At 40.7% G+C, this 24,642-nt stretch overlaps 1 protein-coding gene and 1 pseudogene across 2 annotated transcripts, besides 1 other annotated feature; both read left to right on the top strand.

Annotated features, from left to right (window-relative positions):
• Nucleotides 105–5,270, top strand: GHSR (growth hormone secretagogue receptor). Of its 2 annotated transcripts, NM_198407.2 has the most exons (2): nucleotides 105–943; nucleotides 3,096–5,270. In NM_198407.2, the coding sequence occupies exons 1-2, from the start codon at nucleotides 148–150 to the stop codon at nucleotides 3,398–3,400; spliced, it is 1,101 nt and encodes a 366-aa protein (NP_940799.1). In that variant the 5' UTR covers nucleotides 105–147; the 3' UTR covers nucleotides 3,401–5,270. The 2 variants fall into 2 exon arrangements, with proteins under 2 accessions (NP_940799.1, NP_004113.1); NM_004122.2 differs by lacking the exon at nucleotides 3,096–5,270 and having other exon boundaries at nucleotides 105–1,018.
• Nucleotides 179–946: an enhancer, noted in NCBI's record as "H3K27ac-H3K4me1 hESC enhancer chr3:172165405-172166172 (GRCh37/hg19 assembly coordinates)". NCBI's record gives its function as "activates a minimal SCP1, AML or CMV promoter by ChIP-STARR-seq in primed H9 embryonic stem cells {active_cell/tissue: H9 hESC(primed)}" and the evidence as "EXISTENCE:reporter gene assay evidence [ECO:0000049][PMID:30033119]".
• Nucleotides 21,464–24,366, top strand: BZW1P1 (basic leucine zipper and W2 domains 1 pseudogene 1; annotated as a pseudogene).

The following is a 24,642-nucleotide window of genomic DNA, read 5'->3' as shown; positions in this document are numbered from 1 at the left end:
TCTTTCTTCTCCAAGCATCCTCCCTACGCGTCTGCACCCGCTCCTCCCTCGCACCCTCCCGCGCCTAAGCGGACCTCCTCGGGAGCCAGCTCGGTCCAGCCTCCCAGCGCAGTCACGTCCCAGAGCCTGTTCAGCTGAGCCGGCAGCATGTGGAACGCGACGCCCAGCGAAGAGCCGGGGTTCAACCTCACACTGGCCGACCTGGACTGGGATGCTTCCCCCGGCAACGACTCGCTGGGCGACGAGCTGCTGCAGCTCTTCCCCGCGCCGCTGCTGGCGGGCGTCACAGCCACCTGCGTGGCACTCTTCGTGGTGGGCATCGCTGGCAACCTGCTCACCATGCTGGTGGTGTCGCGCTTCCGCGAGCTGCGCACCACCACCAACCTCTACCTGTCCAGCATGGCCTTCTCCGATCTGCTCATCTTCCTCTGCATGCCCCTGGACCTCGTTCGCCTCTGGCAGTACCGGCCCTGGAACTTCGGCGACCTCCTCTGCAAACTCTTCCAATTCGTCAGTGAGAGCTGCACCTACGCCACGGTGCTCACCATCACAGCGCTGAGCGTCGAGCGCTACTTCGCCATCTGCTTCCCACTCCGGGCCAAGGTGGTGGTCACCAAGGGGCGGGTGAAGCTGGTCATCTTCGTCATCTGGGCCGTGGCCTTCTGCAGCGCCGGGCCCATCTTCGTGCTAGTCGGGGTGGAGCACGAGAACGGCACCGACCCTTGGGACACCAACGAGTGCCGCCCCACCGAGTTTGCGGTGCGCTCTGGACTGCTCACGGTCATGGTGTGGGTGTCCAGCATCTTCTTCTTCCTTCCTGTCTTCTGTCTCACGGTCCTCTACAGTCTCATCGGCAGGAAGCTGTGGCGGAGGAGGCGCGGCGATGCTGTCGTGGGTGCCTCGCTCAGGGACCAGAACCACAAGCAAACCGTGAAAATGCTGGGTGGGTCTCAGCGCGCGCTCAGGCTTTCTCTCGCGGGTCCTATCCTCTCCCTGTGCCTTCTCCCTTCTCTCTGAGTCTCCATCTCTATTTCCCCCTGAGTCGCTACCTCTTTCTTCAGTTTCTCTGGGCCTCTGTCTCTCTGCGTTTCTCTCAATTATTCTCTCCTCTTGCTTTCTTGAGTGATGTTTTTGATCTCTCAATCTTTCTCTCTGTCTCTGTCTCTCTCTCTCCTCCCCCTTTACTTTGTCAGTGTCTTTCTTACCGTCTCTATCTCTTTGTGTCTCTTTCTTCCTGTCTCTCCTTTCTCTCTTTCATGCAAAAATGTCCCATATTTGTATTTCCCTAAAATAAATTTTATATCAGCCCAGAAACTCCACTTTAAAAATCGAGATATCTTATAAAAGTCCATTGTGGTCTTTAAGCGTTAAAAGTGAGGACTGACTTCCTGCCTCAAGTAGGATTTGTGAATATCTAAGTTACATTAAGAAAAGCAGGGTTTGGATCTAGAAAGCGTTCAGCGGTAAATTCAACCAAAGACATGATCAATTTGGATAATCCTCTTAGAGATTATTCATTTTTCTTTCAATATTGTGATTTGTTTTCTGCCCTGCATTTTTTCAGATAATTGCATCAATTCTGTTTACCCTGCTGCTGTTCATACAGCTTTGTAAGGAAGTCAGTGACAAATCAGTGAAGTCTCATTTGTTTTTATGATTACCTGCCTCTTCAGGTAGGATAGACTAGGATAAGGTAAGGATAAACTAGATTAAACAAAGCTCCAACAGGAGGAAAGGAGACTTTGTGGAAACCAACAGAATTCACTACTTCCCCAAATGACCCTTCAGGAACATCTGGGCACAATGTCATAACTGGATTTGCTGAATGTTTATTGCACAAATTCAGCTTCTTTAAGTATATGTGTTTGGTACAAGTGAAGTAATAATAAATATGGTTACAGCCCAGCAAAATATTAACTCTACTTGCATTTTCAAAACCAAGGTCTGTATATTTTATTATTTAGATATTATAGTCAAGACTTCATACTTAATGGCATATTTTAAGGCTTCTTAGAAGCCATTCCAGGATGATTTCATATTTCCAATTTTACAGTTCCTGGATCCTCCATATTAAAGTGATAGAGTTTATTCAAGGAATGTCAAAGATTTTATTTTCTGGACCGGTGATTCTCGTGATATGACTCATAGGTTATAAACCTGCTAGTGTCCTCCAAGGGATCCTAAGCTCTCACCTACGAGAGTCACATTGTTACTGTGGCAGTTAAGTTGCTACTATACAACTTAGTTTTAAGGATAAGTTTAATAATTTCCTCCAATTTTATTTTCAAGCCATTAATTTCTTCATTGGTGTCTCAACACCAATGTTAACTTTCTTCTTCCTTGACAATTTGAAGGGGATCACTAAAGTGTTACAACGACTAAAAAATTATTTGTTATTATTTTTCCCTGATTTCTGAATTTAAAACAATCTAAACATTTAGACATCATTAAAAATTATCTTACATAGGCAAAATGAAGACTTGGATGGATGATAATTTATATGAGTTGGTTTAATAATAGCCTTACTTATGTCTATTGTAAGTGGCATAGAATCATTCATCTCAGTGATTCTTAATCCTAACTGTATATTCAATCCTCTGTGAAACTTAAAAAAAAAAAAGAGAAGATAAAACATATGTCCTGATCGCCCTCTTAGAGATTTAAATTGACTGAGTCTATACTACATCCAAGGAATCTGCATTGTTTTAAAAAGTGCCCCAGGAGACTCGGATACACAGCTATGGTTGAGTACAACCACTTTACCTCGTAAGTGTGTCTGTTGTGTCTAACACATAAAAACTGCTGGACTATTGTGAATAAATGGTCTAGTCAGTTGAGTCAATGTGTCAACTCAGTACAAAATCACTCAGATAGTTGTTAAATAGAAATGACTGGGGAGCTCAGTAAAAATTGTTGAACTGTTGGTCCAGACAGACTGAATCTTTGTTAAAATGTTGGAACAGGAAGAGCAGGACACAATGTTTCTCTGAAGTCAATGGTCATAGACCATGAAACAAAAACAAAGTCTTAAAAATAGAATGTGATTTGCTGTGACATTTCTTGAGCTGACTATCTCTCTCCCATTGTCCTTTTAGCTGTAGTGGTGTTTGCCTTCATCCTCTGCTGGCTCCCCTTCCACGTAGGGCGATATTTATTTTCCAAATCCTTTGAGCCTGGCTCCTTGGAGATTGCTCAGATCAGCCAGTACTGCAACCTCGTGTCCTTTGTCCTCTTCTACCTCAGTGCTGCCATCAACCCCATTCTGTACAACATCATGTCCAAGAAGTACCGGGTGGCAGTGTTCAGACTTCTGGGATTCGAACCCTTCTCCCAGAGAAAGCTCTCCACTCTGAAAGATGAAAGTTCTCGGGCCTGGACAGAATCTAGTATTAATACATGACCTAGCACATTGCGAGTACAGTCACCGCTTATTACTCTAAACCGGAAGACATAGCACAGCAGAACTTGGGAGGAAGCTGAAGGTTAATTTTGGAATTAGGAACACATAGATCCAGAAACATCTGGGAGGGAAAAAAGATATCATTTGTAGGGTGTGAGCAGTTTGATTTGATCGCACAATTATCAGTGCTCTCATACACTATTTCTGCATATTCACTGTCTATGATTTTGCATTCTGCTGCGGGTGCTGGTGAGGGCTTTGCAATTCAGAGAAAGGAGGAAGAGCAGAGTGAGCAATTAGGGCACTTCTTGGTAGGTAAATACAAATTTGCTTTGCTTTTTCATAATGATCAAAATTATTTGGTTAAAAGAATGACATTACAATACAAAATTTAAAATGTAACTTTTAAAAACTAGCTATTTTCATAAAGCTCTAGAGCAGTGCTATCCAAGAGAAATATAACATGAGGCACGTGAGCAATCAGTACAAAAATTATTAAAAAGGAATTTACATTCTTTTTTTTCACACTAAGTCTTTGAAATCTGGCATGCTTTTTACACTTACAGAAACCCTCAATTTGGACACTAAGTTTTCATTGGTAATATTTGATGTATTTAGATTTCATAAAATTTACAGATAAAAAGTAGATTCAACAATCTAAGTTGTCTAAGCACACTTAAAAGTTTTCCAGTAACTGAAACAACGGTAAACCTTTAAACTTAAAATTAATTAAAGTTAAAAATTCAGTTCTTCAGTTGCACTAGTCACATTTCAAGTATCCAGTAGCTCGAGGTTACCACTCAGAACAGTACAGCTCTAGAGTATATACAAAACTTATCATTCACCTTATATGAAATGTTTAAAAATAAATACTGTTTCCCTAAAATGTTTTTATAGTGATGTTCACACAGCAGAATTTTAGAGTGATGAATACTAAAAATCACACCTAAATGTCCTGTTCTGTATGCTCAGAAGAGAATGAATATGAAATGTGTAACATACATTTTTAAATTAAGTTGAGTTGCATGTGTTAATATTCAGGAAATGAAACTTTTTAAAACAATTATGGGTAATCACAAACTGCCTCATATGGCTTAACAAAAATTTTGAAGTCAATTATAAGGCTTCGATTTGTGAATAAGGGAACAATTTGTAACGTGCTCTGGCAAGATTACAAGAAAGTTAATGAATATAGAAATTTTTCAAGTGATGAAGGCAGGCTTATGTGAAAAACTGAGAATCCCCTAAATGCTACTGCTTATTGATATTAAAAACTTTCAAAAATCTTATAGCCATTTATTTTTAAATGTCTATGCTGTGTCCTGTCTCCAAATTAGTTTTGCTGCTTATATCCCATTGCTTATCTGATAGATATGATTACTTGGACTTCCAGACCCTCTCTTAATTCTAATTATGAATGAATAGACATCTTCAACTAAATATTATACATTTGGTTATAAGTATATAATTTTCATTTATATTGACATTGCTTCCTATACAGTCAACTCTTTGCATACTAAAGGTATTAACCCAAAAATAACTTTTTCATAATCCTGTGCAATACTTAGTCATATAAGCAGTTCCTTCATGAAGTTATTGGTTCACAACTATGGAATGGATGGAACCATTTAGGGAAATTCCTGCCATGACTGTTTTTTCCTTCATCAAAAAGAAAGATAATCATGATGAAATAATCGATTGATTATTTAGTTTGGAAACATCCAAACACAATCATAATTAGAATCATTTCTCTAGAAAAATATTTCTGAGATTCGTTCTGACACTAAAACTGCACCACCAATGTGGTCTAAATACAGAACACTAGCAAGCTGATTATGTAGTTAATTCCTAAGAGTGCATCAATATTAAAAAAAAAAAAACACTGACCCATTTAAGTTCATGGGATACTAATTAGGGCATTAAACATTATTGTCCCGGAGAGGGCCCAATAAATCCAAAAGAGGTAGTTCAGCTTCCTGAAGCCTTAGAATTTTTGTCTACAGATACATCCTACTTGAGAGGAAACAAACAAGAAAACCTTGACCTCCATCACACAGCTGATTGCTTTGGGGGAAAACAATCCCAACTTCTAATTCATTGCTTAGCCTCCTCTCTTCTGGGTTTATGTCTAGTCTTGGCCTAATTCACCTCCAGGGAGTAGTTAATGTAGTAGGGACCACCATTGTCCTTCAGTGGTATTAATCTGGAAACTCAGAGAATATGTTTAGAGGAAGAGATCTTTAATTTGTCCTCTTATACCATTGCCTTTTTATTGTTTGTAACTTCTTTATTTTATCATACTCCTTAAATCATTTAAGACTCAGGGAAAAGAGGAACTTAACTGAGGAGTATTGTTTGTAAAAGTCCATCATTTCATAAGCATTTAGTATGTGCCTGACATGTTCTAAACTCTAACAATTAATAAGCCAAGGATTTTATCCTTAAGGAGCTCACAATCACTTGTGTGTTTTGTTGCAGCAGGCAACTGATAACTTCTTTAAATTGTGAAATAAACATCTCCGGTTGACACTGGATCAAGGGGCTGGCTGTTCATCCCATTGTGTTGCTGTGTATTTGGCTCAAAATAAATTCAAGATGGGCTGTTCCTCCAACAACTGGTCAATTCTGTAGACACAGTTAATGTGTCTGCTAGCAGTAATTACACTCAACACATTCTTCATTAATGTAGGGAAAGTAAAGTGATCTTTTTTTACTCTGTGTTTCCATTTTCCTGGTTATCGAGCAATGAGGTGTTTGTCACCACACCTTACACTGTGGCACATAATCAAGTGTTGGATCATTTTCATTACAGGGAGTAACTGTTGTATAAGTAAGAACTTTTAAATGATTGCTTTAAACATTCATTGCCATGAGTTACTCAAAATTAGAAGTTTCACTGTAATGAGATTTAGAAACACCTCTAGTGCCCGGCCACACCTTGAAAATCATTTTATAGTAAACTTTTTATTGCAGTGCATGTTGTTGTGATGCGATTTGACTTGAATTTCCACTTTTTCATGCCAATACTTTTATTAAGAATCTCATATCATTACAAGCATTTTATAATTTTTAGTTCCACACTGGCAGTTTTAACTTTTTTTTCTATTTTTTTATTTACTCATATACTTGAATTATGCTGTTAAAAAAAACTGTGAGATTTTTTGCAAGTTTGGTGCCTGAAAGACTCTCCTGTCTTTTAAAAAGTAGTATGTATATCTTTAAAACATGACATACATATTTACGTGTCAAAATTTCTTGTCACAATGAGTGAATAGAGCTTTCTGCTTTCACAAACACTGAATCTCTTGTAAATAATGTCATTAAAGGATAAAGATAATGTCATTAACAGACAAACCATGTCTAATATAGTTCATTAGCTAATGATTAGCCTATTTTTTTGGCAATTTAAATTGCAACACCAGCCAGAATATATACGATTGTAACTTAACTGGGTGATTAGTGACCGATGTTAATTCAGTGAATTCACAACATAAATATTTTTTATCTAGAGAATGAACGTCTGGTCGAAATCAGTAGAAAAGAATGTGCTAGTGATAGATGCTGTTTTAAGCTAACATCACTTATTTATTCACATTAAATGAATTCAATCATGTTAGTCTTGACAAGAATCTGAGTTTGAAGCAGGTGAGGGGGAAAGTTTGGATGAGGCTTGTTTTTGTATTTTCTCTTTTGAACTCCAACTTGCAGGATGCTAGAGGCTAGCTTTTTGTTGACAGAATTGTCACCATCCTTAAGCAAAAAAGGCTGCCATGTCTATTCCCCTCCCAACTATCTGGATATTTGCTGGAATTCCAATTAATATTTTATGCTATGACACAGGATATACATTTGCTCAAGGAACTAGCAACTACACTCAAAGCTGGCAAGCCAATAAATCTCTCAAAAATCATGCCTCGTGTAAACGTTCAGGAAGTTCCACCAAAATGGGTACGACTATTCTTTCCAGAATTCCTCTCGCCCCCAGCCACAGAGAAAGCTTTGAAGAAGAATGGTTTGAAAGATTTTTTGTGTGTTTAACATCTTAAGTCCAAAACATTTCTCTGCTCAAACAACAAAAACATTTATCTTTTTCACTTTTACCACTATAGGTTTAGTATACTAGAAAACACTTGTCTCTACTAAAAAATACAAAAATTAGCCGGGCATGGTGGCGGGTGGCTTTAATCCCAGCTACTCAGGAGGCTGAGGCAGGAGAATCGCTTGAACCCAGGAGGCGGAGCTTGCAGTGAGCCAAGATCACACCACTGCACTCCAGCCTGGGTGACAGAGCAAGACTCTGTCTCAAAAAAAAAAAAAAAAAAAGGAAGGAAAAAGAAAAACACTTGTTCGTATATATATGTCCAAACAGCCTAGTCCCCTGTTTCACTGATATATGAGGTATTCCATATCTGCATAGAATTTCATACTTGGTTGATTTGTCATAGATGTTACTGATGATGTTTTGATTTGCAATTCTTTTTCTTTAGGGATTTTTCTGAATGTCAATGAAGAGTTTACGATAGCTTTCATGTACCTGTTGTATGCAACTACACATAGGTATTCCTTCCTTTGAGTGTTCTCAACCAAACAATTGCCTAATAAATGTATTTTTAAAGCATATGGCTGACTTCTTCCACTTAGTTACAAAACTTGGTGTCTGGAATATTTTACCTCTACTCTTGTCTCAGATTTAGTTCTATTTTTTCCTTTTAATTCCAGAAATATGTATTTTGCACCTATGAGGAGGTGTTTGTTGTAGTAAATTTTATTTCCCCAAAGGCTCCAATATTTAATAATGAGTTAAACAATTCTTGTAAGAATTAAGAAGAGTGGGAGGCTAAGGTGGGTGGATCACGAGGTCAGGAGATCGAGACCATCCTGGCTAACATGGTGAAACCCCATCTCTACTAAAAGTACAAAAAATTAGCTGGGTGTGCTGGTGTGCTCCCGTAGTCCCAGCTACTTGGGAGGCTGAGGCAGGAGAAACACTTGAACCCAGGAGGCAGAGGTTGCAGTGAGCTGAGATCGTGCCACTGCACTCCAGCCTGGGTGACAGAGCAGGACTCTGTCTCAAAAAAAAAAAAAAAGAATTAAGAAGAGTAAAGGACCCTGTGATGGACTGTGATCCCACGCTCTCATACCTCTCTGACCCTTCCAGCCTGTCACTTCAGAGCCAATATGCCCTTCCTGGTGTTGCACTAATATTTGATCCAAAGACCATGCATGAGCTCTTTGGGTCAGGGAAAGGATGTCTGTTCGCCTTGGACTCAGTAGCTACTCACTGAATGTTGGACAAATGAAGGTTTAAAGACTGGATTATGTGTCACCTGGTCATTAGCTTCCAGACACATGGATTCCAGGGGTTAATCAAATTTAAGCCTAAAATTGGAAGCGGGCAATTTTATTTGCCAACTAGGGGACTTTAAAATACTCTACCACCAAGTGTCACCATCATTTCAACTTAAAAGAACATAAACTAAGAAAAAAATTGTAAAGGATGTAATCTCAGAATAAAGGATAGTCACAGTACAAAAATTCAATGTATTCTACATTACACAAAATTATACATGTATGCTGTTTTGAGTTAGTTATGATTTAAAAATAGCACCTAAATTAAAATGTCTGAGAAATACTTGCCGATAATTAGTAATACATTAAAACAATCCAAGTAAGCAAATCATGGGATTGGTTTTTATAGATCCACTGAGTCCTTTTCCAATATCTTTTGGCACCTGCTATCCACCTCTCCCTTAATTCAATGCCAGCCAGGGCCCATCCCGTTTTTTCAGGCTCGTCCCCTTAGTAGACCCTAGACCCAACTCTAAGGACAAGGGAAGAGCAGGCAGGAGGCCCTCTTAGCAGGTCTCACATTCTGGGGTCATCTACAAAGGCTGATTGCCCCTTGCCTCTGGACTCATAGTTCATCATCGGTTCCTGATTTCATAACCAGCTTCCTTAAGGGGCCATCAAATTAGTTATAAATCAATACAAACCTTCTGAAGAATAGTTTGACTGTATGTATAAAATTCTTCCAAAGTTTACCCTTTGATACAGTAATTTTATATTGAGACATGATTACGGAGAAACACCATCTATAATGGTGTTCCTTGCATCTGATTTGTAATTGTGGAAACCTGAAAAGCCCAAATGTCTGAGAATGGGGAATTTGTTAGATAAATTACAGTAATGATAATCGTTAACATTTACATGACATTGTGCTTAATGCTTTCAGTTCATTTTCTCATACAATCTTCCCAGCATACCTAGGAAGAGGTTGTGTTGTTATGCCTGTGGGTGTGTGGAGTGGGGGGCTGGGAGTCATAGAGACAAGAGAAGTTTTGTCACATAAGATAGGAAATGGTAGGGCTAAAATTTGGTCCCAAATGGGTTAGATTCTAGTTAGGGTCTTGTGTCCTCATTTTACCCATGCAAACATTAAAATGATATTGTAAACATTAAAAATGTTATTGAAAAAGAATTGTAACAACGTGGGTAAAATGTTTACCCAATATTAGTAAAGGAAAACATATATTGTCCCATCTTTTAAAAAAAAATGCACTTTCCCAGAGCAAAGAGGTTGAAAAGATATAGCATACTAAAGTATTAACAGTGTTTCTCTGGTTGGTTGAAATGTTTTCTTGTTTCTATTTTCCATGGTTTCCAACATTTCTACAAAGAATGTGTATTATCCTTGCGATAATGGAAAGTGGCAGAATGAGTTATTACAAGACAGCGACTGGCTCTCTCCTGGCCCTGCTCCAGATCCTGCTCTCTGCTCTCAGCCTCTAACTGTATCTGGGACCTCGGGTTTGCCTGGCTTCTGTGAGGACCGTGGTCCTCAGGGAGACAGCTTCCATGTCCAGCCCTAACTCTGAGCTCTGGGCCTCTGCAGGTCCTTGCTAGGACATTTGCTCTTCCCTGGCAGTGACAGTTTCAGGGAGGTGGTAGTGGGAGAGCAAAGCCAGCCAGCATCAGGCCTATATTCCAATTCTGCTGCTATAACTATGTGGCTTTGGCAAGTTTCTTAACCTCCATCCATATAAAGTACCAGACACTTAGTAGGTGCTCATTAAATGGCCACAGTGATCCTTTGGTTACTTAGCAAAGTATAAAGTGGCCCCATTTTGTGCCCCCATTTCCTAGGTACTCTGTTGCCTAGAATACTTCTTCAGAATTCTCTATCTTCCCCTGACCCAACTGGGAAGGTCTTGCAGCAACTTCATTGATCATTTACAGAATTTTACAGAGGCTCATAAAAGCAGCTGCAAATTTGGCAAAGTTTAGTAATTACTCTGCCTGTAGTGCTGACAAGGCACTGTCAGGTTTTCCCCAAATGCAGCAGATATACTTTGTGAGCCCTTGGCTCCTCTCCCAGGGGGCATTTGTCCCTCTATTTGTGGAATAAAAAATAATTTCAGGCTCAGTCAACAGAAGGTGGAAGAAGATGTAGGTAGGAGGTAAAGGGGGAGAGCCGGGAGAATCTTCTGGGTTCCTGAAAGTATACCTCTATTCATGGTCACTTGTTCACTCTCTGGACCTTTATCACCAGAATCTTTATCGACTGATTTTTTTCTTTCAGGATTTATGCTCCAAGAACAAAACACATGAAGTATAGTATGCATAGACTTTGCAGCCAAACAATTATAGAATTTACTCCTGGCTTCACCATCTAGCAGCCATGTGACAATGGGCAATTACTCAACATTAACCTCTCTAGGTCTCAGCTGATTTTGTAGTACAATCGGAATCATAAGACTACCTGCTTTGTGTGCTTGTTGACAGGATCCCATGACACAGAATATGTGAAGGGACAGTGTCTGGTACACAGGAGAGCCCAACACATCCTTTTTTTATTACTATATTTTGTTAGGATGTTTACCATCTGTGATGAGTTCCTTTAAAGTAGAGCAAGAACCTAAAACGTGTGAAGAAATCTGAATGCAGAATCCTACAGTTTTAGGGTCCCCTTCCCACCCCAATTTTGACAGTAGTTTCACCCACATCTACTTTAACGAGCATTTTAGTCACTTGCCTTTCTTAAGACTTTCCAAGGAATTCAATATAGTTTTCAGAGAAAGAGCAGTTTTCTTTTTTGCAATCACATTTTATCAGTTTACTATAAATTAGTACATATTTTTTTTTTAAGACAGAATCTAGCTCCTGTTGCCCAGGGCTGAAGTGCAATGGTGCAATCTCAGCTCACTGCAACCTCCGCCTTCTGGGTTCAGCCTCCTGAGTAGCTGGGATTACAGGCATGCCCCACCACACACCCAGCTAATTTTGTATTTTTAGTAGAGACAGGGTTTCTCCATGTGGGTCAGGCTGGTCTCGAACTCCTGACCTCAGGTGATCTGTCCACCTTGGCCTCCCAAAGTGCTGGGATTACAGGCATGAGCCACTGCACCCAGCCCATAATTTTTAACTTGGCTGGTAAATCAGAAGTGTGGAGGTGTGCAACAGTGTGGCTTCCTAGCTCCCAGCACATTCAGTGTGGCCCAAACATTAGTCACCATCCTTGAGAGAGTGAATGGAGCACATTGGATACCAACAATTCTAGATAAGAACTCTTCTAATCTCTATGTAAAAGCATTTAGAATATAGAGATTCACTGGTTCTCTTCAAAGAGAATGAATCCAAGTCTATAACGCTTTAGAGACTGTCCAGGGTCTGAGGAATTTCATTTAGGGAGTTTCCTCCAGTGGGTCAACCCCTATCAATTGGTAGTGGCTCCCAAGGACACTGAGCTGTGTTGGGTTCTTGGTAGGGTAACAATGTATCCCCTTTGTCTGTAATAGTACTGGTTATTCCTGCGGTCGGGCATCCCATCTAGTTTGCATTTGTCCTGGATTTTTTCATTTTTTAAAAGATATATCATTAATATTTGCATTAAAGTAAACTGAGGTGAGTTTGCTGGATCTCCATTTGGTTATATCCATCTTCTGCCATGGTCTTGTCTAGCAGCATGTGAGGTCTGTGTTCAGGAAACAGAGTTCTCTCCTTAGCGCACAGTAAATCTGAAAGACGACCAGCTTTAATCTTTCTCTTTATTTCCAACACTTTCCTGGGGCAATTTAACTAAGCCCTCCTTTTCAAAGAAAGCATGCAAAAACACTTGCTAAGAAAACAAAGTGGGCGGTGGCACATGCTGCTAGGGAATGTCAAGTTTTCTGTCTTAGGTGGTATTGATGGGAGAAATATTTGGCGGCTATTTATTGTCTTCTGCGGTTCTGCTATGGCTCTTACTGCAATCTTCAAGATGCATGAAGTCAGTAGGGTCGGTGGAAAATGGAAAAATATTATAGGCTGGGCACGGTGGCTCACGCCTGTAATCCCAGCACTTTGGGAGGCCAAGGTGGGCAAATCACTTGAGGTCAGGAGTTCGAGACCAGCTTGGCCAACATAGTGAAAACTTGTCTCTACTAAAAGTACAAAAATTAGGCAGGCGTGGTGGTGGGCACCTGTAATCCCAGATACTCAGAAGGCTGAGGCAGGAGAATCACTTGAACCCGGGAGACAGAGGTTGCAGTGAGCCCAGATCGCGCCACTGCACTCCAGCCTGATGACAGAGCGAGACCCCGTCTCAAAAACAGCAACAACAGCAAAACCTTACAGATTATGTACATATGCAATAAGCGCAGGAAATAAAGGTTGAGTAGCTCTCCTCTAGAGGATAATCTAAACACTTTTGTTAAATGGTAACAACCTTGAATTTTGCTATAAATCTACTGAAGTTACTAATTATTTCAATAAAAACTATGTCCGGATATAACAATTTAACACATGGGACAGCAGAAGGCACATTTAAGTTTCAGTACGCAAAGCAGGTTTTTCCATTTAAATGAAACAATTGTTCTTTCAAATTAGTTGTACTCACTTTGGAGTCTATAGTTTCTCACACACGCACAAAAAGTTCATGACAGTTGTTATTGTTTTGGCTCCATTGTCAGAAGACAATCTTGGCACACAGTTGAATGAGGCCAATTTTATACCAATGCGATCACATGCTTTAAATAAAAGAATCAGCTAATCTCACTAATGGATTGAGTTTTTCATCCAATTAATGGAATTGAAATAAAGCTTTTGGAAATCCTTGTTTAGTGAAATATTTTGCATTATTGAGAATGTAACTGAAATTTTTCTTAAAAGATCTCCATTGATGTTAAATGTATTTATTTTGGGGCGACAATACAAATAAAATTTTGGAGGGACATAGTGTCATGATAAAAGCAATGTTCTTACTAAATTATGAATTCTATAAAGCAGACATCCAAGCATGGAATTGTGGTACCTGTATAACTCATAATTCACCCGAAGAAGTTGTGATATACTGTCAATAAAAAAAAAAGAATTGAGCCAGAATAATCCCAGCACTTTGGGAGGTCAAAGCAGGCTGATCACCTGAGGTCAGGAGTTCGAGACTAGCCTGACCAACATGGTGAAACCCCATCTCTACTAAAAATACAGAAATTAGCCAGGTGTTGTGGTGCACACCTGTAATCCCAGCTACTCAGTAGGCTGAGACAGGAGAATCGCTTGAACCCAGGAGGTGGAGGTTGCAGTGAGATGAGATCACGCCACTGCACACTCCAGCCTAGGCAACAGCAAGACTTTGTTAAAAGAAGAAGAAGATGAAGAAGAAGAAGAAGAATTGTCAAAATTCACAAAAATTACACAGCTATGGCTTGAGTTTGTCCCCACCAAAACTCAGGTTGAAATTTGATCCCCTATGTGGCAGTGTTGGGAGGTGAGGCCTAGTGGGAGGTGTTTGGGCCACGCGGTAGGATCCCTCATGAATGGCTTGATGCCATTCTTACTGTAGTGAATGAGTTCTTGCTGTAGTAAGACTGATATAGTTCGGCTCTGGGTCCCCACCCAAAACTCATCTTGTAGCTCCCATAATTCCCATGTGTGGTGGGAGGAACCTGGTGGGATATAACTGAATCATGGAGGCAGGTCTTTTTCATGCTATTCTTGTGATAGTGAATAAGTCTCACAAGATCTGATGGTTTTAAAAATGGGACTTTCCCTGCACAAACTCATTCTCTTTGCCTGCCACCATCCATGTAAGATGTGACTTGTTCCTCCTTGCCATCCACCATGATTGTGAGGGACCCCCAGCCACGTGGAACTAAAAGTCCATTAAAACCCCTTTGTCTTCCCAGTCTCGGGTATGTCTTTATCAGCAGTGTGAAAACAGATTAATAAGGTAAATTAGTACCAGTAGAGTGGGGCACCACTGAAAATATACCCAAAAATGTGGAAGTGACTTTGGAACTGGGTAACAGGCAGAGATTGGAACAGTTTTGAGGGCTCAGAAGAAGATAGGAAAGTGTGAGACAGTTTGGAATTTCCTAGAGATTTGTTGAATGGCTTTGCCAAAAATGCTGATAGTGATATGGACAATAGAGACCAGACTGAGGTGGTCTTAGATGGAAATGAGAAACTTGTTGGGAACTACAGCAAAAGTGACTCTTGTTACATTTTAGCAAAGAGACTGGCAGCATTTTGCCCCTGCCCTAGAGATCTGCGGGACTTTGAACTTCAGAGAGATGATTTTAGGGTATCTGGCAGAAGAAATCTCTAAGCAGCAAAGCATTCAAGAGGTGACTTGGGAGTTGTTAAAGGCATTCAGTTTTATAAGGGAAGCAGAGCATAAAAGTAAAAAATTTTTAGCCGGACAATGCAATAGAGAAGAAAATCCCATGTTCTGAGGAGAAATTCAAGCCAGCTGCAGAAATTTGCATAAGTAAAAAGGAACCAAATGTTAATCCCCAAGACAATGAGAAACATGTTTCCAGGGCATGTCAGAGGTCTTCACAACAGCCCCTCCCATGACAGGCCCAGAAGTTTAGGAGGAAAAAATTGTTTTGTGGGCCAGGCCCAGGGTCCCTCTGCTGTATGCAGTCTAGGAAGTTGGCGCCCTGCATCCCAGTTGCTCCAGCCATGACTAAAAGGGGCCAAGGTATAGCTCAGGCTGTTGCTTCAGAGTGTGGAAGCCTCAAGCCTTGGCAGCTTCCATGTGGTGTTGAGCCTGTGGGTGCACAGAAGTCAAGAATTAAGGTTTGGGAACCTCTGCCTAGATTTCAGAAGTTGTATGGAAATGCCTGGATGTCCAAGCAGAAGTTTGCTGCAGGGTGGGGCCCTCATGCAGAACCTCTGCTAGGGCAGTGCAGAAGGGAAATATGGGGTCAGAGCCCCCACACAGAGTCCCTACTAGGGCACTGTCTAGTGGAGCTGTGAGAAGAGGGCCACTGTCCTCTAGAACCCAGAATGGTAGATCTACTGATAGCTTGCACTGTGTGCCCAGAAAACCTGCAGACACTCAACACCAGCTCATGAAATCAGCCAGGAGGGAGGCTGTACCCAGCAAAGCCACAGGGGCAGAGCTTCCCAAGACCATGGGAACCCACCTCTTGCATCAGCATGACCTGGATGTGAGACATGGAATCAAAGGAGATCATGTGGGAGCTTTAAAATTTTACTGCCCTGCTGGATTTTGGACTTGCATGGGGCCCATAGCCCCTTTGTTTTGGTCAATCTCTCCCATTTGGAACACAGCTCTATTTACCCAAAGCCTGTACCCCCATTGTATCTAGGAAGTAACTAACTTGCTTTTGATTTTACAGGCTCATAGGTGCATAGGTGGAAGGCACTTGCCTTGTCTCAGATGAGACCTTGGACTGTGAACTTTTGAGTTAATGCTGAAATGAGTTAAGGCTTTGGGGGACTGTTGGGAAGACATGACTGGTTTTGAAATGTGAAGACATGAGATTTGAGAGGGGCCAGGGCAGAATGATACAGTTTGGCTCTGTGTCCCTTCCCAAATCTCATCTTGTAGCTCCTATAATTCCCACATGTTGTGGGGGGAACCTGATGGGATATAACTGAATCATGGGGGCAGGTCTTTCCCATGTTATTCTCGTGATAGTCAATAAGTCTCATGAGATCTGATGGTTTTAAAAACGGGGAGTTTTCCTCCACAAGCTCATTCTCTTTGCCTGCTGCCATCCATGACTTGCTCCTTCTTGCCTTCTGCCATGATTGTGAGGCCTCCCCAGCCATGTGGAACTGTAAGTCCATTAAAACCCCTTTGTCTTCCCAGTCTTGGGTATGTCCTAATCAGCAGCAGCATGAAAACGGACTAATACAAAGACTGAATTAGTTCTTGTAGGAATTGATTAGTCCCTGGGAGAGCAAGCAGACTGCCCCCTCAAGTCCTGTTTCTTTGCATGTGTCTGCTTCCTCTTTGGCCTTCGTCATCATGTTATGATGCAGCAATGAAAACCCTCACCAGAAGCCAGGGCTATGCCCTCGAACTTCCCAGACTGTATACCATAGCTAGACAGATTTCTTTCTTTATAAATTCTCCAGCCTCAAGTATTCACTTATGGCAACAGAAAATGTACCAAGACATACACAAGCACAGAGTAATGAAACAAAAAATAAAATGTTTCAGAATGGTAGTACTCACTTTCTTTTTGCTACTCATCACTAATCAGATTTCAAAAATGCTTGTTTATTAAAATAAGTACTTTGTAATTTCTTAGTGTCCTAAAATGGGATTGTAAGTGAGTTTTCTAATGTTATTGTCTTTTTCTTAAAAGCAGTTGAGGCTGGGCATGGTGGCTCACACCTGTAATCCCAGCACTTTGGGAGGCTGAGGCAGGGGGATCATGAGGCCAGGAGATCAAGACCATCCTGGCTAACATGGTGATACCCCATCTCTATGAAAAATACAAAAACAAAATTAGCTGGGCATGGTGGCAGGCGCCTGTAGTTCCAGCTACTTGGGAGGCTGAGGCAGGAGAATGGCATGAACCCAGGAGGCGGAGCTTGCAGTGAGCTGAGATCACTTCACTGCACTCCAGCCTGGGCAACAGAGTGAGACTCCGTCTCAAAAAAGAAAAAGAAAAAAAAAAAAGCAGTTGAAATCTTTTATCAGAGCAGTCAACAAATGGAGTACCATAAAACCCTTAAAACCCAAAACTTTTAGTATTTGAAGCTCTTAGAAATGTACAAACTTATGAAAAACAAAGCTTGCAACAGGAAAACATTAAAAATACATCTGTACAAACAAGGAGAAACTGAATGAATTACATTTGAAGACTCAAAATCTACACTGATTCAATTTTGAAATTCTATAATTGGTATTTAAGATATCTGAAAATTGGGTTGAAATTTTTGGTGGAATAAAGCTGAGAAGGCTTTTTTTTTTTTTTTTTTTTTTTTAATGGAGTCTCGCTCTGTAGCCCAGGCTGGAGTGTAGTGGCGTGATCTCGGCTCACTGCAAGCTCCACCTCCCGGGCTCATGCCATTCTCCTGCCTCAGCCTTCTAAGTAGCTTGGACTACAGGTGCCCACCACCACACCTGGCTGATTTTGTTTTTGCACTTTTAGTAGGGACGGGATTTCACCATGTTAGCCAGGATGGTCTCGATCTCCTGACCTTGTGATCCTCCCTCCTCAGCCTCCCAAAGTGTTGGGATTACAGGTGTGAGCCACCATGCTCAGCCGAAGGCCTATTATTTTCTAAGATCTAAATGTGGTAAAATATTCAAAAGAATCATAGATAACTTATTTGACAAGTTTTGTCTTATAAAAATATTTGTTAAATAAAAGTCTCTAAAAAGCGACAAAGTGACAGAATCTCTAAAAATATTTGAGCTGAAGTTAAACATTTCAATATTACAAAACAGAAAATAATATCCTCCTTTTCTCAGCATTTGTTCTGAGCCTACTAGAAAGAGTAATAAAAAGTGTTAAGAATTTCAAATTTATTAACTGTAAATATAGAAAATGGTTGCAAGTAATTTTACTAAAAATGAAGATTAAAGTGTATCAAAAAAGCATTCATCATAGAAATACCAGTGATACAGTATTGCAGATAGATATGGCCACATAAATGATTAAAGTACGTAAATACATGCCGAGAATAATTTTCTTATTTATATTATTTTTAAAAATTCAGAATATCAATATAAAGATATTTCTTTGTTTTGATTTCATGTAGCAGTGTTGTTAGGGGGAGGCCCTAAAGGAAGATTTTCCCAAAGGTCTTCCACAACACTGTTGTTATAAGGCAAAGATTTCCATTCAGTCTTGGGAGCCAAGAGCAAGAATTGGATATCAGATAAATGTCAATGTCACCTGAATTCTGTGTTTTCAATGGCTGTGTGACCCTTCTTTATTAGTGTCTTGCTTCCTCTATCTTTTCTATATCTGTAGCTCCAAAAGAGCTTCAAGATGTGTAGCACTGATAGGTAAAAAGAGAGGAGAGGGAGAGACTAACCATTTCCCTTGGAACCTGTAACATCTACATGGGGAACCAGTGCTGTGGCACAGGCAACCCTCCTGAAGGAAATAAACCTTGTTAAGATGCAGTTTCGTAAGGAAGACTGCTTTCCAGCTGGGCTCACTCTAAGCACTGGACCCTTGACTTGAAAGGAAGGGTCTGCAGTATTGGTCTTCTCAATTTCCAGGCTCTTTACCCCTTCTCCAGTTCAGCCACGCATGCCTAAGGTTTTACACTGATCCATTGTCACCAGGAACTTCTCCTCCTCTGAAATCTTGCACTTAAACATCCCATACTGTGACCACAATCTTCTGTCATTCCAGGGCTCTCAGCTGTTACTCCCTCCACACAGAATTTCTCACAGTTCTGGAGACTGGAAAGTCCAAGATCAAGGCCAATTTAATGTCTGGTGAGGGCTTGCTTTTTGGCTCATAGGTGGTGCCTTCTTGCTGTGTTCTCACATGGTGGAAGAGACAAGCTAACTCCCTGGGTTCTTTTAGGAGGACACTAATCCCAATCATGAGGACTTTGCCCTCAAGGCTTAATGACCTCCCAAAGGCTCCATCTCCTAATACCTTCTACTTGGGGGTTAGGACTTTAACACATAAATGGGGGTGGGCACAAACATTCGTATCACAGCAGCTCTGTTTCTTACTCTTCACAGAATCTATTCCAAACCTTCTCCATTTTCCACAAGCCACACCAGTCCCTCATCAGATATCCATACATGTTACTTCGAATAGGGAATAAGAAGCTGCTCATTGAGAATTCTCTTGCCTCATTGTCACCACATGGAAAAGGTCCTCTGGAGTCGCACACGCCCTTTGCTCCTCTGCTCATGTCACAGCAGGAGCAGTGTCTGTCCTCCCAAAGACATCCTCTCCATCAATGCACTGCTTCTTTTCTCCTCCCACCTCCTATGATTATCCCGTCTCCCCTGAAGCTTCATCCTTCCCCTCTCTGCTGGCATCTACCATCAGTGTTTAAGCCTGTTCAAGATTTCCTGTCATAAAAAGACTTTGCTTAATCCCTTCTATGGATTGAATTTTGACATCCCTCTGCTAAATTCATATGTTGAAACCTAAACCCTAATATGATGATATTCGGAGATGGGACCTTTGGCAGGTAACTAGGTTTAGATGAAGTCATGAGAGTGGGGTCCTCATAACGGGATTGCTGTCCTTAAAAGAAGAGGAAGAGACCAGAACTCACCCACCCTCCACCAAATGAGGACAAAGTGGGAAGGCAGCTGTCTGCAAGCCAGAAAGAGAGCACTCACCAGACGCCAACCATGCTGGCACCTGGAGCTGGGACTTCCAGCCTCCAGAACTGTGAGAAATGCGTATCACTTGTTTAAGCCACACAGTCTGTGGTATTTTGTGATGGCAGCCTGAGCTGGTTAAGACACTTCCACAGTGCCCTCCAGCTCCTATCCTATCTCTCTCCTCCCCTTTACAGCCAAACTGGTTGAAATATACAGTATCCACTTTCTCTCACTCCACTCATTATTAACTTACTGACATTGTACAATGAGAATAGCACTGAAAAAAAAAAGGTTTAAAAAGATCACACATGGCAGCACTATGCTGGGACCAAGTTGATTTGTCCAATGGGGAAAACTCATGTTGAACAAATAATTGCCCAATAATTATTTAACTGTAGGTGAGTTATGTGCTATGGTAGAGAAGCTCTAGGTAGATGCTGTGGGAGCCTCTTTTACATTTACCCAGGCTGGTCTGGGGCATGACACTGAGGAGGGCACCCCTGGGGTAGTGACATTTATACCATAATTTAAAGGATAAGTGGCAGCTGACCGGATTGCTGAAGGGAGGAGTACGATTCCAGGCATAAAGAACAGCGTGGGAAAGGTCTGAGTTAGGAAGGAACATGACATGTTTGAGGAGCTGAAGGAATGTCAGAGTGCTGGAGCCTAGAGGGCAAGAGAGAGGGTGGCCTAAGGTGGACACTGTTCTGGAGATAGGGCCTTGGAGGCTATGCCAGGGACAGACAACATGAGTATCCTAAAAGCAATGTACAGCCAACGAAGGGTTGTAGTGGGAGAGTGAGTGAAGGGGTAGCATTTGCATTTAAGGAAGACCAGTCTGTCTGCTGGTGGGGTTGCGTTGAAGGAGACAGGATGAATAATAGGAAACATCCCTTCAATAATAATTAAGGACTTCTCAAAGGGAGAAAAGACAAATAGTGCAGTATTGTTTCCACATATGGTATGATCAAAGGGTTGGTCCATGGAACCAATTCAGTCGCCTGTGCTTGCCTACACAAGGCCCTAGTATAAAAAGTGAAAAGTCCCGGCACTGCTTAAGACAAAGTATCAGAAAGAAAGATTTCTTGACCTCAGGGCTGTGAGTCTATCTTGTGTTGGCATCAATGAGACTCTGGTTCCTGGGCCATTCCTTTTCTATCTTCACCATGGCAGCCATCATGGGAATCAGCACGGCAGATGGTGGCGCACAGATTGAAATGGGGAAATGGAAGCATTTTCACTTTGTTTTCTGGGCCTTCATCAACCAGCAAGCGAATGTTAAGCCCTAAAGCCTTAACTGGTTTAAAACTCTCTATCATGAGCCTGAAAGATGTCTGAATGCCTTGTTTATTCACGGAGTTTGTTTTGTAGTGAGAGATGGTTAAGAGCATCCATCAGGCTAGACGGTGGTGTGAAAATCCATCCTCAGTTCTGGTTGCAGAGGAGACACCATGGCAGTTGCCACTACATTGGGGATTTCTGGCTCTTTCCTCATCACCTTAAATTCGGGTGTCTTTTATGAGTAATCAAAAGCAGCAAAAGCCAACGCTATCAGGCCCAGTATTTTAAAACCAGAAAAAGAGATGAAAAAGAGAGGTTTGACCCTACTCAGTTTCAGGACTACGTTATTCAAGGCTGAACTGAAACTGGTACTGATTTGGAAGCAGTAGCTAAGTTTCTTGATGCTTTTCTGGAACAAAACTTGATTACCGTCGATGTGCAGAAACACTCTTTGACATTCTGGTGGGTGGTGGAATGCTGGCCCCAGGTGGTACACTGGCAGATGACATCATGCGTACAGATGTCTGCGTGTTTGCAGCCCAAGAAGACCTAGAGACCATGCAAGCATTTGCTCAGGTTTTTAACAAGTTAATCAGGCACTACAAATACCTTGAGAAATGTTGTGAAGATGAAGTAAAAAGGCTGCTGGTGTTCTGAAAGGGTTTTTCAGACTCGGAGAGGAAAAAACTGGCTATGTTGACTGGTGTTCTTCTGGCTAATGGCATCCATTCTTAATAGCCTTTATAATGAGAATTTGGTTAAAGAAGGGGTTTCAACAGCTTTTGCTGGAAAGCTATTTAAATCATGTATAAATGAAAAAGATATCAATGCAGTAACTGCAAGGAAAGTCAGCATGGATAACAGCCTGATGGAACTTTTTCCTGCCAATAAGCAAAGCGTTCAACACTTCACGAAGTATTTTACTGAGGCAGGCCTGAAAGAGCTTTCAGAATATGTTCGGAATCAGCAAACCATCAGAGCTTGTAAGGAGCTGCAGAAAGAACTTCAAGAACAGATGTCCCGTGGGGATCCATTTAAGGTTATAATTTTATATGTCAAGGAGGAGATGAAAAAAAACAACATCCCAGAACCAGTTGTCATCGAAATAGTCTGGTCAAATGTAATGAGCGCTGTGGAATGGAACAAAAGAGAGGAGATTGTAGCAGAGCAAGCCATCAAACACTTGAAGCAACACAGCCCTCTACTTGCTGCCTTTACTACTCAAAGTCAGTCTGAGCTGACCCTGTTACTGAAGATTCAGGAGTATTGCTATGACAACATTCATTTCATGAAAGCCTTCCGGAAAATAGTGGTGCTTTTTATAAAGCTGTAGTCCTGAGCAAAGAGCCCATTTTGAAGTGGTATAAAGGTACACATGTTGCAAAGGGGAAGAGTGTTTTCCTTGAGCAAATGAAAAAGTTTGGAGAGTGGCTCAAAAATGCTGAAGAAGAATCTGAATCTGAAGCTGAAGAAGGTGACTGAATTTTGAAACTACACCCTCAGTAAAGCAAACAGGAGTTGTAGATAAAATGTCCTGTCTCATGTGTCCTGGTTCTTACATCTTCCTACCTCCCTGTATCAAGCATGATATAAGGGCTTTCATGGCAAATTTTATTTTAACTGTTTCTATGGTTGCTGGAAATGTTGGGTTTAGTTTCTAAAACCATGTTTTAAGTAGCTACAGGAGATATAGATTTGAATCTAATGTTGCATTAGTCTTTTCAGTTATCTTCTACCGCCTGTATTTTCTACTGTAATAATTTAAGACCTTCCACAATGAACAGTTCACTTTATTCCCTGGGTTTTCTATAAACAGTTTTCAAGATATGATTTAGTTAAAAAATAATTTATTATAAAAATTCTGTTTGCAAATTAAACTGTAAAAGTGTCCAAAGTCTCAAAGGCAATGATTTGCGTGATAATATGGCATGCCCAGGGCCCTACTCATCAATGAAAAACCCATATGTAATAATTGAATTCGTTTAACATGAATCTTGAGTATGTGGACCATTGCTTGCCATTAACTTTTTTTGTTTGTTTGTTTGTTTTAACTCCAGTTGTCCTAAAGCTCAATTGTTTGCTCTCTGGGTTTTATCCTTAGAGAAGCCATGGAGAACAGACTTGAAAAGTTTAGGAAATCAAAATGTGGCAGAGGTGGCGGGAAGAAGAAAGATGAGATTTTCCCCTTGAGAAACTTCTGCATTTAGTTTGTATCTTTCCAGGCAAAACAAATGGGTATTTTTTTTATACAACCATTTTCAAATGAACCTTAGAAAAGTCTTATCATTTAAGGTATTTTATGCACAGAATACCCTTAGATTGATAGGAAAAGACTCATAAAGGAGTTTGAGTAAAGAAAATGACTGATGTACTAAACCCAGTAAAAATTGTTGACAATGTTAAAGGTCAGCTTGTTCTAATTGAGAATCTAGATATAGCTTAGATTTCCTATTGGCTTAGAGCATTTGCTATAACAAATGAAGTGCAATGACAATTATATATTCCTACTTGGTCATACTGGACTGGCTTCATTCTCTTAACATATTCTGTAATGACTGAAGCCTTTGGCTATTAACATACCCTAGTTGCCATTTTTAATTGCCATGAGCCAAATATTTCTTGTATACAATTGATCCATTTATTTTCATGGTTGCCTTTTTATTTTCAGCTTTTCTTGCTGCTACCCATCTGTGTATGTAGTCATTGGTGGTGGGGGGAGGGGGGAAATGTAGCCACACTTTTTATAGAAAGACTTTGTGTTAAAAGTGAACATTTTGAAGGTTTTTAACTGGTGAAAGAAACTAGCCTGGGATAATGCCACCAGAGACTGAGTGGAAATCGCCCCTTTTGAAGGTGCCATTCTTATGAGCCAAAAGTTTGTCATTTAAAAGTTCATTTTGAAGGAATAACATGTCATATAATTTGAAATAAAGGTATAGTAACCTTAAAAAGAATACTATAACTTAATATTGTGAATGGGTTGAATTTGTTAAAGGAATAACTTTGATAAAGTTTTCATTCACAGGCAAATGTATTCACTAGATTTCTACATAGTGATCTGATTTTACTTCATAATTTGTAGTTCTCAAAATACTTTTTTTAAAAAAAATAAAGTCCATACTTACACTTAAAAAAAAAAGAAAGAAAATCCATCCTCCACCTCCTCATCTCAGTGAGCAATATCTACCCATTTCCTGAAGCATGAAGTCCAGGTTTATGCTGGGATTCAAAGCTCTGCCCAATCAGATCTGCTCAGGTATCTACTGTTATCTCCTTTGCTCCCCTGCATGCCTTTGAACTCCAGTAATCTGAGCTATTATTTGGTCCATGTATAGGCCCTGTATTTTCTTCTTTCCTTTGCTGATTCATTCATTATGTATCTAGATAGTAGGAATGAAGTAGTGAA

This window comes from Homo sapiens, chromosome 3, assembly GCF_000001405.40.
Source record: "Homo sapiens chromosome 3, GRCh38.p14 Primary Assembly".
In the NCBI taxonomy this organism is placed as follows: Eukaryota; Metazoa; Chordata; class Mammalia; order Primates; family Hominidae; genus Homo; species Homo sapiens.
The sequence above is the reverse complement of the archived record's forward strand: the minus strand, read 5'-3'. Positions and strand labels throughout refer to the sequence as shown.

Coding starts and splice junctions, on each gene's coding strand:
- GHSR (NM_198407.2), top strand. CDS start 148: ATGTGGAACGCGACGCCCAGCGAAGAGCCGGGGTTCAACCTCACACTG. Junction 944..3,095: donor GCAAACCGTGAAAATGCTGG/GTGGGTCTCAGC, acceptor TTGTCCTTTTAG/CTGTAGTGGTGTTTGCCTTC.